The 14,720-nt window shown below is 51.0% G+C and overlaps 1 protein-coding gene and 1 pseudogene across 56 annotated transcripts in view; both read left to right on the top strand.

Annotated features, from left to right (window-relative positions):
* The window catches only part of NFASC (neurofascin), a 194,171-nt gene that overhangs the window by 116,496 nt on the left and 62,955 nt on the right, over positions 1–14,720 (top strand). For 31 of the 56 annotated variants that reach the window (NR_165492.1, XM_011509316.2, NM_001378329.1 and 28 more), the window contains 5 exons: positions 5,410–5,427; positions 6,864–6,969; positions 9,041–9,237; positions 9,682–9,804; positions 12,509–12,679. Coding sequence is in view for 55 of the 56 variants with exons in the window: in XM_011509316.2 (XP_011507618.2) it covers positions 5,410–5,427; positions 6,864–6,969; positions 9,041–9,237; positions 9,682–9,804; positions 12,509–12,679 (615 nt within the window). In the remaining variant the exon portion in view is untranslated. The remainder of the gene's footprint in view (positions 1–5,409; positions 5,428–6,863; positions 6,970–9,040; positions 9,238–9,681; positions 9,805–12,508; positions 12,680–14,720) is intronic. The other 25 variants (XM_011509318.2, XM_047449996.1, NM_001160332.2 and 22 more) reach the window with 1 other exon arrangement.
* RPL13AP11 (ribosomal protein L13a pseudogene 11) lies at positions 1,421–2,047 on the top strand (annotated as a pseudogene).

A 14,720-nucleotide genomic window follows, 5' to 3' on the forward strand; every position in this document is an offset into this window, starting at 1 on the left:
CGTTCATCAATGGCCCATGTATTGGCAGCCAAGCTCCTCGGCCCTGCCTTTAGGTGTGTGCCACCTTTACCACAACTCTGACACTTCTGGCAAAATGTCTTAGCATCCCCAGGCTAGGATGTGAGCATGCCATCTCTGACCCCTGTTCCTTGTGTCAAGGAACAGAGGGGACCCACATGACACCAACATTGGCTTGGGCTCTCTCCAGTTAACAGATGTCTGGGGAGGGGGGCAGGAGAGTAATACAAACTCTAAAAAGTCGTCCCTGAGCTCTCCAAAGCCAGACCCCTGGTCCTGGAGTTACCACAGTTTGGAGAAGAGTTGGAGGTATCTCAGCCCTCCTGGCACTCTACTTCACCCATAATAGCTGCCCCTGCCCCAGAGGAGGGGACTTTTTGGATGATAGAACACCAGTAGTAACTGTAAGTCAGACCCAGAGGTAAGATGGGCAAAGCCCCTGCTGCCCTCCCAATACCCCCAGGCATGTGGACTTGAATGTATGTGTGCATATGTATGCATGCCCACACACGTGTGCATGTGCACAGGGAGGGAGGGAGGGAGGAGAGGAGAGTTGTGAAAGGACCTGTTCCCATGGTAACTGTCTGCGAGGCTGGCTCGAGGAGAGTTTCTCATTAACAGTCCCAGGCAGACAGTCTAATAAGGAGCCTGGTAAGGCCAAGTCCCCGGAGGGAGGGTGTGCAGAGGAAATTGGGTTATCAGGGAAGTGGTGAAGGCTCATTTCTCTTCTGCCACTTCTCCTCTCTCACTCACCTGCTGCTTTGATCCCCAGGGCCAGTGGGTGAGGGGTCCCTGCAAGGTGAGCCTATAAATAGATGGCTTTGGTGTCTATCTTAAGAATCTGGAATTCTAAAGCTCTACAGGAAACGGAGACACAGCAGACACCCCAAGCAGTCAGGCTCTCCAAAGCCCCACCTGTAGGGTAGAGCTGAGAGTGCCCTGATCTCCCCACCATCTCCCCATTCCAGTGTCCCTGGGACGACCCCCACCCCACGTTGTGTTCGCGGAAACTCAAGCCTTTGCTAGCTTAGAGTCACACAGCAAATGGTTGGTGGAAACAAAAAAGAAACCACTGGAATCGCAGGTGTCATGCACCAGGAAGTGAGCTAAGTGCTGCATGTGCCTCATCGCACATGGTTCTGGCAGCTAACCCTCAACATAGGTGTTATCCTTAGCCTGCGGGTTAGAGACAAGGAAGCGACAGAGCCGGGATAGGACCACAGCACCTCTCTGATGGAGAGGGAAGTCCTTCTGCAATGCCATTCCAGATGCTCTGGCTGTGTCGGGGCAGGAGACCCAGGCTGCCCGGAGCATGCCCCACACACATGGCACCTCCCCGGTTGCTGCAGGTCCAGTGGCCCTGGCAACGTGTCCAAAAAGAGTCTGCAGAAACTGAACACACTTTCCCAGTGGCCACCGAAGATGACAGGGGATGAGGGGGCAGGTCCTGGCACTCTATGGCCGAGGCCATCTCCTGGGCCTCCTGTACTGCTGGGCTGGAAGGTGGTGGTCATGTACGGCGAGGGCATTGGCATTTCTGGCAATTTCTATAGAAACAAGTTAAAGTACCTGGCCTTCCTCTGCAAGTGGATGAACACCAACCCTTCCCGAGGCCCCCACCATCCCTGGGCTGCCAGCCTTCTTTTTCGGCAGACCCCACGGGGCATGCTACCCCACAAGACCAAGCGAGGCCAGCCGCCCTGGACCGCCTCATGGTGTGTGATGGGATCCCACCGCCCCTGACACAAACAAGCAGATGGTGATCCCTGCTGCCCTCAAGGCTGAGCATCTGAAGCCCACAAGAAAGTTTGCTTGCCTGGGGCACCTGTCTCATAAGGTTGACTGGAAGTACCAGGCAGTGATAGCCACCCTGGAGGAAAAGAGGAGGGAAAAGGCCAAGATCCACTACCAAAAGAAACAGCAGCAGAAACAGGCCCAAAAGAACGGGGAGAAGAAAATTGCAAGTTCACAGGGGTCCTCAAGACCCATGGGCTTCTGGTCTGAGCCCATAAAGACTGTTTATTCCTCAAAAACAAACAAACAGAATAAAGAAGCTGAATGCAAGACAGGAGGCCAGCCCTTCAGAGAGGCCCCCGGCTGCCCTGGGAAGAGGCTGTCCTCAGCAGGTCTCTCCATCTCACTGGGCCCAGCACCACAGACCTCCCATGTGTGCTGAGCTGAGCCCACCCTCCATCCAGCCCTGGGCTGAAGGAAGATCAGGCATTCTTAACGTTCTCGCCCTGCCAGGTGTTCTTTCTACTCATTTGCCCCTTCAGTGGACATTATCTGTGTCTCGAGGGCAGGGGCACTGCTTCTATTCTGGAGAGGCTGGGCGCCGCAGGCCTCCTGGAGCAGAGCCCCAGACCGCTGCACAATCCCTCATTGAAGGCCCAGCCTCCAGCTCCCACTGCTGTGCCAGTGAAGTCACACGCACCCCTCCCACCCATCCCCTCCCTCCCTCCCTCCTTCCCTCCCTATCCAGCCCCAAGGAGAACAGTATGACCTTTGAAAAAAGCCAAGGGTCGCCTCATCAACCAGAGTGAGTTTGCCAAAAAGTGGGTCTGCTGGCCCTTTTGTCCCTGGCCCTGCATCAGGGGACAGCATTTTCCTCCCAGAAGTGGCAGAAACAATTCCTTCCCACCTTCATCACAAATAACACTGCAGGATGGCCTCAACTCATATGCACACTCTCACACATACATGCACATTCACACATACACTCACGCTCACACCTGCTCACTCATGCACACTCACACCCACTCACACTCACACCCTCACATATCCTCACATGCTCACACTCATGCACACTCACACGTGCCCTCACATACCCATATGTGCTCACACTTATGCACACTCACTCCCACTCACACACCTCAATCACACGCACTCACGTGCTCCATCTCCTGAGGGATGGGTGCCAGAGGTCATAGGTATCAGAGCCAGGGAAAGAAAAGAGGCACACGAGTAAAGAAACCTCGCAGACCGAGCAGGCATCTGCCTAACTCCCTGCAGAGCTGGGCTGGAAGAGCTATGGAATTCACTTTCCACTGCTCCATAGAAGGCGAGTGGTGTGACACTGGGTGGGAGCTTGGTCACCCTCATCCGTACAAGCTGTCCCCACTGTCTTCTCCCTGTGGCAGCTTGTCTTCTGGGTTGGTTCTGTCCCTGTAAGAAATTCCTTAGTAGCACAGTGGTGGCTGCAGACGCCATCCCTATAGTCAAGTAGATTCTCCAGAGGTCCTTGGCCTGATAGTATGGGGGCTGGGGACAGCATCCAACCAACTCTTGCTGCCCTGAGAGTCTCCAGCACCCACAGTCTCCCCTCTCACTCACCCTTCTCCAGAATGTCAAGGAGAGCAGAGTCCTGAGGCCCCAGCTGGCTCGCTCACCTCTCTGGCCAAGGATGGATTTGTTAAAAACAAAACAAAACAAAACAAAAAACTCTGGACCAGGCACTGGGAGAGCTGGTTCTCCTTCTAGCTCTGCAGCAAACTTCCTGTATGATCTTGGCCGAGAGACTTCTTCCTTGGATCTGGAGATTCCCTGGACAATGTCTAGGGCTCTTTCCATTGAGTCAGCCTTCGATTCTATAAAAGAGAGGCTTGAAGTCTTGAATAGGCAAAGGAGGTCCCTTGTCAGGCTTGCTAACCAGGGTGAGACCCCAAAAATGTCCTGAATGAAGAAGCTAAGGGCCTGGGCTAAGGGCCAAGGGGAGCGGGTCCCAGTGACAGCCCCACCTCTCCTAAGAATGGCCCCTTCTCCCCACCCAAGCCAACTGGAGTTACCTTTCTTGGGGCCCTGGCAAGAATATCACATATGGGTGAAGATGCTGTGGAGACGAGCTCCGGGGAGCATGTGTTCAGAAGCCATAGATTTTTGCTTTCCCCCTGGACTTTTCATTCCTTTGTCTCCTGCCCAGGCAGCCCTGGGCAAATGGCGAAGCAAATGTCTCTTCAGTCTTCTAGGGGCCACACGAAATAATTATTTTGGATCTTTTCATGAGTCTTAGTCTCAAGATTTTCCTTCATGCATAGCATGTACGGCAGGGCCCTTGTCCTGCCACACTCTGCCCCTCCTCTGGGATCTCTCTTCCCTTCCCTGCTGTGGCTCTTCCTGCACCTCTTGTTCTGAGCTTAACTCTGGCTTCTCCAGGCTGCCCTCTCTAAGCCCCCAGAATCCTCGCCACATCTCACTCAAGTCAAGTAGGAAGGCTTCAAAGTCACCATGGCTTTGCCCTGATGCTGGCAGCTCGCAGCTCCCCACAAGGAGCCCTCACTCTGAAAAAGTCAGCCTGCAACAACAGTACAGTAGTCTGCACCTGCATGAAATGAGAATGCCATGTTACTTTCTGATATATTCATCAGGAAAAAACATTTGAAAGTCACAGCAACACATGTTCCCTTTTCTGCACATTTTAACCAAGACCTTGTCCCCACAAAAAGCACACCATCTAAAACCTTCCTATGCAGAGTGTGGTTCACACACCACCAGCATGGCATTGCCCCAGCACTTGTCAGAAAGGCAGAGTCCCAGGCCCCACCCCAGCCCAACTGAATCAGAACCTGCATTTTAACCAGCCCCCAGGTGATGCATGTTAAAATTTGAGAAGCCCAGACCTCAGATACATACATCCACCTGCACAGGAGCACACCTATACAAGCACATGCACACTTCAGGTAGGAGCTGGGGGAGATTTGTGCCACCTGCCTCCTTACCTTCTTTGTGAAAAGCACAGAAAGGAGCTGTAGCCTCTGCTTCATCTCTGGAGCCTCCCATTGAGAAGCATGATTTCTATAAGGCAATGTACCATGAATAGAAGCAATGTACCATGAAAGGGGCATTTGCCTCTAGAGTCTTCCATAGGATGGGAAAGGAGGAGATGCCAAGGAGAGAAGGTGTCGTGGGAGAAATGAGGCCTTGGAGCTTTGCTCTGCAGCAGTGTTTCCAATCCACTCCCTTCCTGGCACCTGTCTTGCCCTCAGCCTCTCCTGTTCACTGTTGGCTGAGGAGCCCACTTCCCTCAGTGGCATCAGATGGAGGGAAATACCTTCAGGGCCTCTTTCAAGCAGCATTGTCACTTGGGGACATGTGGACTTCCTGGTGACACTGTCCTTTGATCAGAGCCAGTCTTTCTGCCCAACTCTGTGGTTTTGGTCACCCAGGGGAGGCGTCACCTTCTCCATAAGGCACTCACTGGGTCCGTTCCCCAACCCTGCTTGGTTCTTGCACTGGGCTTTGCAGCCAGGAGGAGAGAGCCCTGTGCTCAGCGCCCTCCCCAGGCACACCCCGCCCACTCCCTGTGTGCTGGGGCGTGAGGATGCCTGGGCGGTTGTGTGCATAACGATGTTCTTCTTTTCTCCCTCTCCAATGCTAACCCGTCGGAACTAACAGCAAGCATTCAGAATGAGCGTAAGTGCCCTGTGTGCCTCTCTGTGCCTCTGGGAGTTGGGAGGGAGGAATGAGGCATGAGGTGATACCTGGGGATTAGTGGCCTGCTGGGACTTCTGCTGGGGCCTCTTCATACCAGAGCCCTGTAGTGAGGTATCTTACTGCGGGGGAAGGAAGGAGGCTTGCCTGCAGCATTCTCTTGCTGGGAAAGACAGAAGGGCACGTGGTAAGAAGAGGGTCATTGGATCGAAGCTCATGTGCACCACAGCTGTTTCCCCATCCTCCAGTGGCTGGCACAGGACCCCAGGGTAGCACACTGGCACTTGGGACCTAGAAGGGGAGGATCTGGGAAGTTCTTGGGGACTGAAGGCCCTCTCTGCTCTAGCCTCACCATAGTTTGGCCGTTTGTTGAGCCTCCAGGGCTCAGAACCACCATGACCCCTAAGTTCTGAAAATCTAGCTGCTTTTTCTTCCTTTATTCATTCAACAGACATTTATCAAAAACTATTGTGCACTGTATGTTGTGCTAGGCATTGTAAGGTAAGGATGAGTAAACTAAAAGTCTGGCCTTCAGTTTCTCCTCGGGATGCTATGGGATTTTTTTTTTTTTTTTTTTATGGAGTCTCGCTCTATCGCCCAGGCTGGAGTACAGCAGCACAATCTGGGTTCACTGCAGCCTCAGCCTCCTGGATTCAAGTGATTCTCCTGCCTCAGCCTCCCGAGTAGCTGGGGTTATAGGTGCTCACCACCATGCCCGGCTAATTTTTTTTTTTTTTTTTTTTTTACTTTTAGTAGAGATGGGGTTTTACCATGTTGGCCAGGCTGGTCTTGAACTCCTGACCTCAGAAAATCCATCCGCCTCAGCCTCTCAAAGTGCTGGGATTACAGGTGTGAGCCACCATGCCTGGCCTATGGGATTTTTTTTTTTTTTTTAAAACAGAATATCGCTCTGTCGCCCAGGCTGGAGTGCGGTGGTGCGATCTCGGCTCACTGCAAGCTCCGCTTCCTGGGTTCTTGTCATTCTCCTGCCTCAGCCTCCCGAGTAGCTGGGACTACAGGCACCCTCCACCACGCCCGGCTAATTTTTTGTATTTTTTAGTAGAGACGGGGTTTCACCGTGTTAGCCAGGATGGTCTCGATCTCCTGACCTCGTGATCGGCCTGCTTCTGCCTCCCAAAGTGCTAGGATTACAAGCGTGAGCCACCACGCCTGGCTGCCTATGGGATCTTTTTAAAGGGATTCTTCTTATGCTTAATCTTTGACACCCACCTTCTTTCCTGCGGCACCATTTAAGGAGCTGGGTCTCTAGAATGGGGCCCTGTTCACCGCCCCCCACACCCCACCCACTTGCCTGCTTGCATGTGTGGCTTCTGAAGCTCTTCATCTCAGCTGTTCCCCAAGCTGGACCCCAGGGAGGTCCCTGCAGCCCTGACCATGCTCCCTGTGCACTGTTGCAGTGACGCAGCCGCCAACCATCACCAAGCAGTCAGCGAAGGATCACATCGTGGACCCCCGTGATAACATCCTGATTGAGTGTGAAGCAAAAGGGAACCCTGCCCCCAGGTGAGTGAAGGGGAAAAAGAGTGCATTGAAACCACCCGCTTGCCTCTGGGCCTGATGATAACTAAGGCAAATGAGGCAGCAGGAAAATTGGACTCATCCATTCCAAAAAATTTCCATTAGGCACCTACTAGGTGGAAGGCATAATTGAGGTACCAGGAAATTTTGCCGGTAAGCAAACTGGAGACCAGAAAACAAGTGGCTTAAGTTCACACCAAAAGCCAGGACTGGATGTTCAGTTTTCTGACTTTCCGTATAACATTCTTTCCTCCACGCTGTGTTCCCATCATCTGCCCCACGTTTAGCTTATAGGAAGTTCCTTTTCCAAGCCAACTTGAGTCTTTCATTCTGAGCTTGCCTCTACCTGTTTATGTGCTCATTAAGACCAAGTAAGATGTCAACAGACATGAATTAAAAGCCTGTTGTGTGTGTGTCCGGGCTCTGTGTTAGGTTCTGTTACTCACGTTTTGTTCGACCACCTAACAGTGCTCTGGGGAAGGACCGATGTCCTTATGAAGAGGAGGGGAAAAGGGGTACAAAGGTCCAAGGTTACCCAGCTTGAAAGGGGCAGAACCCAGATTTAAACTCATGCATTTCTACCAAATGATAAGCATCGGAGACATGACAGACGTTATTATCTGCCCCCATCCCCATCCTCAAAGTAGCATCTACAGACTGAGCCTTTCAGGAGCCTCATGCAAGATTCAGACCCGTATGTGACAGGACCACATCTAGGGTGTGTCTGTCAGCAGGAGAAATGAGGCCAAGCAGAGGCAGCCAGGTATGCAGCAGCTTTATTCTGGCCTCCTGGGTTCACACAAGACAGTCTCAAACCCAGAGCTCTGAGCCTGGGAACCAGCAGGGACTCTCTCGCTGGCCGTGGGAGTCACCCTGAAGGGTTAGTCAGGGTAATGGTAACCTCACTTGCTTCTGAGGTTTGGTCTTTCCCCCATGGTTCCTTTGCAGAGACAATAATCCTGTGGCACTGAGCAGCCCCTGCTGTTCCAGCTGCTCCTGCTTTCCCTGCTTCTTTTACAAGTTAGATTGTGGGCATCTGAGGATGTGAGGCCTTGGCTGCAGCTCCCAGGAGGAGCAGAGGGGGCCATTCTAGTGCTCTTCACCAGTGGCTCAGTTCTACTAGGCTGCCATTTCTTTAAAAGCTGCCACTGTTTTTTTGTTTGTTTGTTTGTTTTTTCTAATTGAGACGGAGTCTCGCTCTATCCCCCAGACTGGAGTGCAGTGGTGCGATCTTGGCTCACTGCAAGCTCCACTTCCCGGGTTCATGCCATTCTCCTGCCTCAGCCCTCCCAAGTAGCTGGGACTACAGGCACCCGCCACCACACCCGGCTAATTTTTTGTATTTTTAGTAGGACGGGGTTTCACCGAGTTAGCCAGGATGGTCTCGATCTCCTGACCTCGTGATCCACCCACCTCAGCCTCCCAAAGTACTGGGATTACAGGCGTGAGCCACCGCGCCCGGCCAAAAGCTGCCACTCTTGGGCTACAGGGTGTGGTCACTGCTATATAATCTGTACTCACTGAGCAGGGCACAAGTAACCTAAGCCGTTTCACTTTGGCTTTAAAATGGATTGTAAAATTAAGGTGGCAGGAGGAGCAGAGCCAACTCCCTGAAGTATTTAGGTTGGGTGGAATATGAATTCAAGTTTGCATTCCTAGTAGAAGGTTGGAAATGTCCTGGGGTGGAAGAAGCCACAGATTCTAGATTCTAGAAATGAAAATCTCTCCTCAATAACGTGTTTAACATAACCCCCGAGTAGCTACTTCAGTATCTAACACTTAGAGCCACGAGTCCCAGTCTTAGGTGGGTAGAAATACTAACGTCAGGCCCCTGCCCTGGACAGTCACTTGGGTGGGACCTGGGACTTTGCATTTTATTGAGCTCTCCAGATGGTTCTTCTGCTCAGCCAGGCTGAGACCTGTTGGTATGGGGTGCCACGATGGGACTGAGAGAGGGAATTTTGGTACTGAGCCAGGGACTAGGGATCTGAGATCTGCCTGGAGCCCAGAGCCCACCCCATTCGTCTTGGTTGCCACTGCTCCCCACTCTCCACAGCTTCCACTGGACACGAAACAGCAGATTCTTCAACATCGCCAAGGACCCCCGGGTGTCCATGAGGAGGAGGTCTGGGACCCTGGTGATTGACTTCCGCAGTGGCGGGCGGCCGGAGGAATATGAGGGGGAATATCAGTGCTTCGCCCGCAACAAATTTGGCACGGCCCTGTCCAATAGGATCCGCCTGCAGGTGTCTAGTGAGTAGCGTGGGGCAGGGCTGAAATGCCCTGCTCCTGGGTAAATGGAGAGTGGGGGGTGTGGAAGGCCATTCCAGAAGGGCTGCCCCTGCCCTTGGCCTGCAGTTGCCTTGGTGTTCTCTATGCATCTTCCCCACCTCAGAATGATTCCCTGGAAAGGAAGCTCCCAAAGCTTCCTTTTGAAGTTGTTGTCTGCAACAATTTCACTGGCCACTGCGGGCACAGGAGACGGGAAAGGAGGGGAGCCTTGAAGATGCCTCCCTTCTCCTGCCTCTCAAGGGCGGCCCCTTGAGTAGGCTCACGTGCCCCGTCCCTCTCTCTTGCTCCCTCCTTCTCCAGGTGCCCCTTCTGTTTCTCCTCCTTGCATGCCTGCCTCTGACCCTGCTCCTTGCCCCGGGCCCAGCCATCACCCTCACTTTATCCTCTTTGTCCACTTCTCTCCAGAATCTCCTCTGTGGCCCAAGGAAAACCTAGACCCTGTCGTGGTCCAAGAGGGCGCTCCTTTGACGCTCCAGTGCAACCCCCCGCCTGGACTTCCATCCCCGGTCATCTTCTGGATGAGCAGCTGTGAGTCTTGGGGGCCTGGTGTTGTGTTTATATCTTAACCTTAGGGGGTGGGGTGGGTGTGTTAAGTGGGGAGGGGCTTGCCCAAGCTAGAAGGCCTTGATTTGTGAGAGGCAGGTGCAATGTGGCAACCAGGCTGAGAACACAGGCTCTGCAGAGAGAGGCTGCTTGGGCTTATTTTCTAGCCTGGCTGCTGTGTGATCTTGAGCAAGTGTGATCTTGAGCAAATTGCTTACATCTCTGGGCCTCAGTTTCCTCTTCTGGAAAAAAACAGAGCTAATCATAGTACTTATCTAATAGGATTATTATAAGAATAAATGAGTCAATACGTCCAAAGTGCTTAGAACAGGGCCAGACACACAGTAAGCACTTGGAAACATGATAATGAAAATGAAGAGCAAGACAGAAGGGATTAGGGGAGAAGAGGAGAAATGGTTTTTCCAATTGGCCAATTGAAAGTGGTTGATACCAAACCACCTCTTTCAATTATTGGCCGGTCTGGATTTATTCTGATTCGCTCTTCTGGTAGGAGGAAGGGTGAATGGGGAATTGCAACCTTTCATAAAGGAGTGATGGGGAGATAGGGTATCTGCAGCAGGGACAGAGTAGCATCATTCAGCGATTGTTCTGGCTCAATTTTGAACTGAGCCTCATTCATCCTCTCCGGACCTCAGTTTCTTCCCATGTTTTCAATTTAAATAAAAGCAGAAGCATTAATAGAGGTAAATCGAAAACTGCTATCTCTCTGTGTGTCCTTCTGGCTTCCTGTCCTCCCTCCCTTCCCGCCTACCTGTCTGCCTCCTCTCCCCCTCCTTCCATCCCTCCTTTCCCATCTATCCAGCCATCCATCAACCTATATCTCCACCTACGTACCTGCCAGTCATCCATCCTTCTATCCATCCCTGAATTCTTAGCAGCCTACTTTGAAAAGAGGCTGCCCTGTTGATGAGGCAGCATTGTAAGTTATTTTGCAGGTTGAGGATGGCTTTGTGCTCAATCACTGTCTCTCTCTTCCCCCATCACAGTGCACATTTATGGGGAAGGCTGCCTGGCCACAGGCTGCTGGCCTCACTTGTTAATTCACAGTTCAACTTCTCCTCTCTCATCTCTCCCACATCACATTCACCATCAAGTTGTGTTCACTCTGCCTCCCAAGTAGATCTTAGACCCTTGTCTTCTTTCTGTCCTCACTGACATCTCCCCAGCCCCGGCCACCATCAGTTTTTCCCTGGGTTACAAGAATTATCCATAACAGGCCTCCCTGGTCTTTCTAAAAATGTGATACTTAATTGATAGTTTCATTCATCTGCTTAAAGCCCTTCACTGGCTCCTCCATCACCTCAAAATAATGGTCCAGATCCCTTTCCCTGGCACCCAGTCCCATTCCAGATCTGGCCCTCTGCCTCTCCAGCCCTTGTCTCCCCTCATCCCCTTACACCACTGAGTGGACTATGTACTCTTAGCCTTTATCACACACTCTTCCAGCTCCTTAGAAACCTCAGCTCCCCTGTCTTTTCTCCTGGTATAAGATATGCAGGCTTCAAGGCTCAGCTTAGGACCCCCTAGAATGCACTGGGTTCTTTTTTGCAGTTAATCCCCTTCTAACTGGTGTGTTCTGCTCGCCACGCTGCATTGCAATTGTTTATTTATCTGCTGCCTCTTCTACTAAACTGGAAGTTATTTGAGGGCAGTAACAGTCTTGCCCAACCTTTCACCAGCACCTAGCACAGTGCCTGGCACATAGTAGGCCTACAGTAAATCAGGAATGGTTTGAAGAGCTGACCAGCCCATTATGGGGAAGTTGGCATCATTAACCTTGTGCTTTAAGAAATGGTGACTTAAAAAACAATTGTGGGGATAGGAAGGAGACAGCTGTGAGTAGTCAGCTTTAGGTATATTCTAACTAACCTAACAGCCTGGAAACCTGGTCTTTTGGGTTTACATCAGATATAGCACTTGAAAAAAAAAAGAAAAGAAAATATAGTCAACATTTTCAGCCACTCCAGTTATATCATTAATCAGACATTTTCATATTTTAACATCTCTAAAATTGAAATCAGATTTAACATCTCTTAAAACTGATGATGTACATCATTGATTGGTATATATCTTACAGTTATAATCAGTAGTGCTTTCTTCTTAGGAATAAAAAACAAAGGTATACATTATAATTGATGATTACATTTTTGTTAAATGCAGCAAAGCCAAGTTCAATTTCATTTAATTCAGCAAACTGTTGAGTGACTCCTATATGCCGAGTCCTAAGACAGGTGCTGGGGCATAAGATGAACAGATCATGGTCCCTGGCCTCTGAGTGCTGTCGCTGCTAGCTTGAGAATTTGAACCTTGGGGAGTACCTGAAGGTTTGTGTTCCTTCTGCTGGTCCCACAGCCGGTGAGATCTTTTGTGGCGTGAACAGGAAAGAGAAAAGTGTGGTCATAGAACATGGACATGGTGGGCAGGCAGGTCTGCATCTAAAATCCTGCTCTCCTCTCTGCCTTTGCAATGCTGGACACATTACATCCTCTGCTTTCTGATCTGTAAAATGGGAATAAGCCATACTTCAGAGTTGAGAGGATTAGACCAAGTAATGTCAAGCTCCTGGTCGCCACCTGACCCTCTGTAAAGTGTTCTGTCGCCAGGACTGCGGTGGTGATGATTACTGTTATTACTACTAACCTGCTGCCGTACCTCTGCTTTCTTATAGCCATGGAGCCCATCACCCAAGACAAACGTGTCTCTCAGGGCCATAACGGAGACCTATACTTCTCCAACGTGATGCTGCAGGACATGCAGACCGACTACAGTTGTAACGCCCGCTTCCACTTCACCCACACCATCCAGCAGAAGAACCCTTTCACCCTCAAGGTCCTCACCAGTAAGTGAAGGCCCCTGTCCCGGGGCTGGGGGCCAAAGAAAGAAGCCCACTGATCCCACCCAGCCCTAGGTACCTGAGTCTATAGGGGGAGACTTGTCCTTGAGGCTGACCTAGAAATCCTTCCAGCTCATGGTGCCTGAGCCACTTCAGCTGCTCTTAAACGATCTCTCTTGATTGTGAAACCTTGAGTTAAACTTGGTCCTACTCTAAGTCAATCCTCCTCAAATTCTGGTGGGAATCAGAATCACCTTAGAACCTGGCAGCGTACCCAGAACCAGCCTATCGTACCTCAACAGCCCTGAGCCTCTTTGTTCTTTATGAGCCCTCCAGGTAATTCAAGTGCACCCCAGAGTTTGAGAACCACTGCTTCCAGTGGTCATCTAGAACCCCTCTCCGGACACAGCTTGATTATTTCTTTTATTTCTTCTCATTGCTTGGTTATCTTTATTTGTATAAGAAACCCATAGCAGAAAATATGAAAATTAGTGGAGACACCAAAATAAATTTTATTTGATTCTGTAATATGTATATGCTGAACCATATGGAATCGCTATGTTTGTAAGTTGCAGGCTTATGTTTGAGTTTTATTTGTTTTCGTTTCTATTCCCTGATTCTGTTTGGCTGGTACAAAAGCAAATCAGCATTTCCCGACCCATTATAGTGTTGGTGGCTCTCCCTTGAGGAGAGAGAGAAGCTTAGTCAGAAATGTTCTTCTTGGCAAGGACGAGGCAGCCTAGAGCTTTTGCTGCAAAGTCTCAGCCCACTCAGGACGTTGGAAGTTGTCTATGTTGATGTACACCATGGATTTGTAACACGCCTTCCATAAAGGAGCCCCCCAAAAAACAGACCTTAGTCTGACTCATGCTGTGAGTGTTGTTTCTGATGCTCTGGACAGTGAGGATTGTTGGGGAGGCCAGTAGAGAGCACCATGTGGGTGCTGGCAGTTTGCAAAGGTCAGAAAAAATAGGCTGACCCTGGCTTCCTGGAGCCCCTGCAGAGGTGGTGAACAATGGCTCCCCGGGTGGGTGTGGGTCAGGAGAGGTTCAGGTGAGATCACTTCTCATTCAGGACAGGTAGGGGGTGTGACCATTATCGTTCTCTTCCTTCCTCCCTATCCCTGCTGATGGCAGAGGCTGGTGGTCCTGAGAGCCAACACAGCCCCATGCTCCATTTCCACCATGGCACAGAGGTGGATCCAAAAGGAAGCAGCTTCCTTTTCTCTTCCCCTTCTCATGTTTTTTTTTTTCTTTCACCTTTTCATTTTCTTCCTTTTTCTTTTTCACTTCCTTCTTTATTTCTCCTCCCTCTTTCTTTTTCTTTCTTCTTTTCCATCTCTCTGTTCTGTCTTGGAACTCCATTCTGCCCTCCTCTAATCATCGCCTCCTGCCTTGCAGTGTCCCCACACACTGATCTGTGTTGGTGCTGGGCTGCCAAAGGTGGTAGCCGGCAGGTTGCCTGACACCTGCAGCAAGCCCCTCGAGTTCCTGGCAGGGTGACCTGGCTTCACTCCAGTTGCTCCCCCGTCCCTGACTTTCTCATTCCTGACCCAAGCCCAGGGAGACCCCTTGGAGGAGAAAGTTGGTTTGTCTGCAGTGTCTCCTCAGTCCACATCAGGGTGACTGCCTGCCAGCTGGCTGGGCTGGGAAGGACAGTGTAGTCTGCCCAGGACCTCGGAGTGGCCTCAGCAGCCAGGACAGGACTAACAGCATTGGCAGGGGGAGGAGCAGGGATGTCAAGAACAAGATAACATGCTCGCTGAGCTGAGCCTGGACAGCCATCAGCATCACCACCAGGGCCCCTCTCTCCTTGCCCAGACGACGCTAGAAATCGGCCTGCTGCTTTTGGAACTGAGTCAGTTGACCTTCTGTCATCCTGGGCAGAGCCCATCACTGTCACACAGAGTAGAGCAGAGGCCAAGAGACTGAGGTGGTGAAGAGTCTTCCTCTGTAGAATTAACTAACTTCCTCTGCAGTTAGAGATTTAAACAACATGTAGAACTTGGACTTTCCAGAAACACTCTTCTCTACCAGAAGAAGTAAGG

The sequence above is a fragment of the Homo sapiens genome, chromosome 1 (assembly GCF_000001405.40).
Source record: "Homo sapiens chromosome 1, GRCh38.p14 Primary Assembly".
In the NCBI taxonomy this organism is placed as follows: Eukaryota; Metazoa; Chordata; class Mammalia; order Primates; family Hominidae; genus Homo; species Homo sapiens.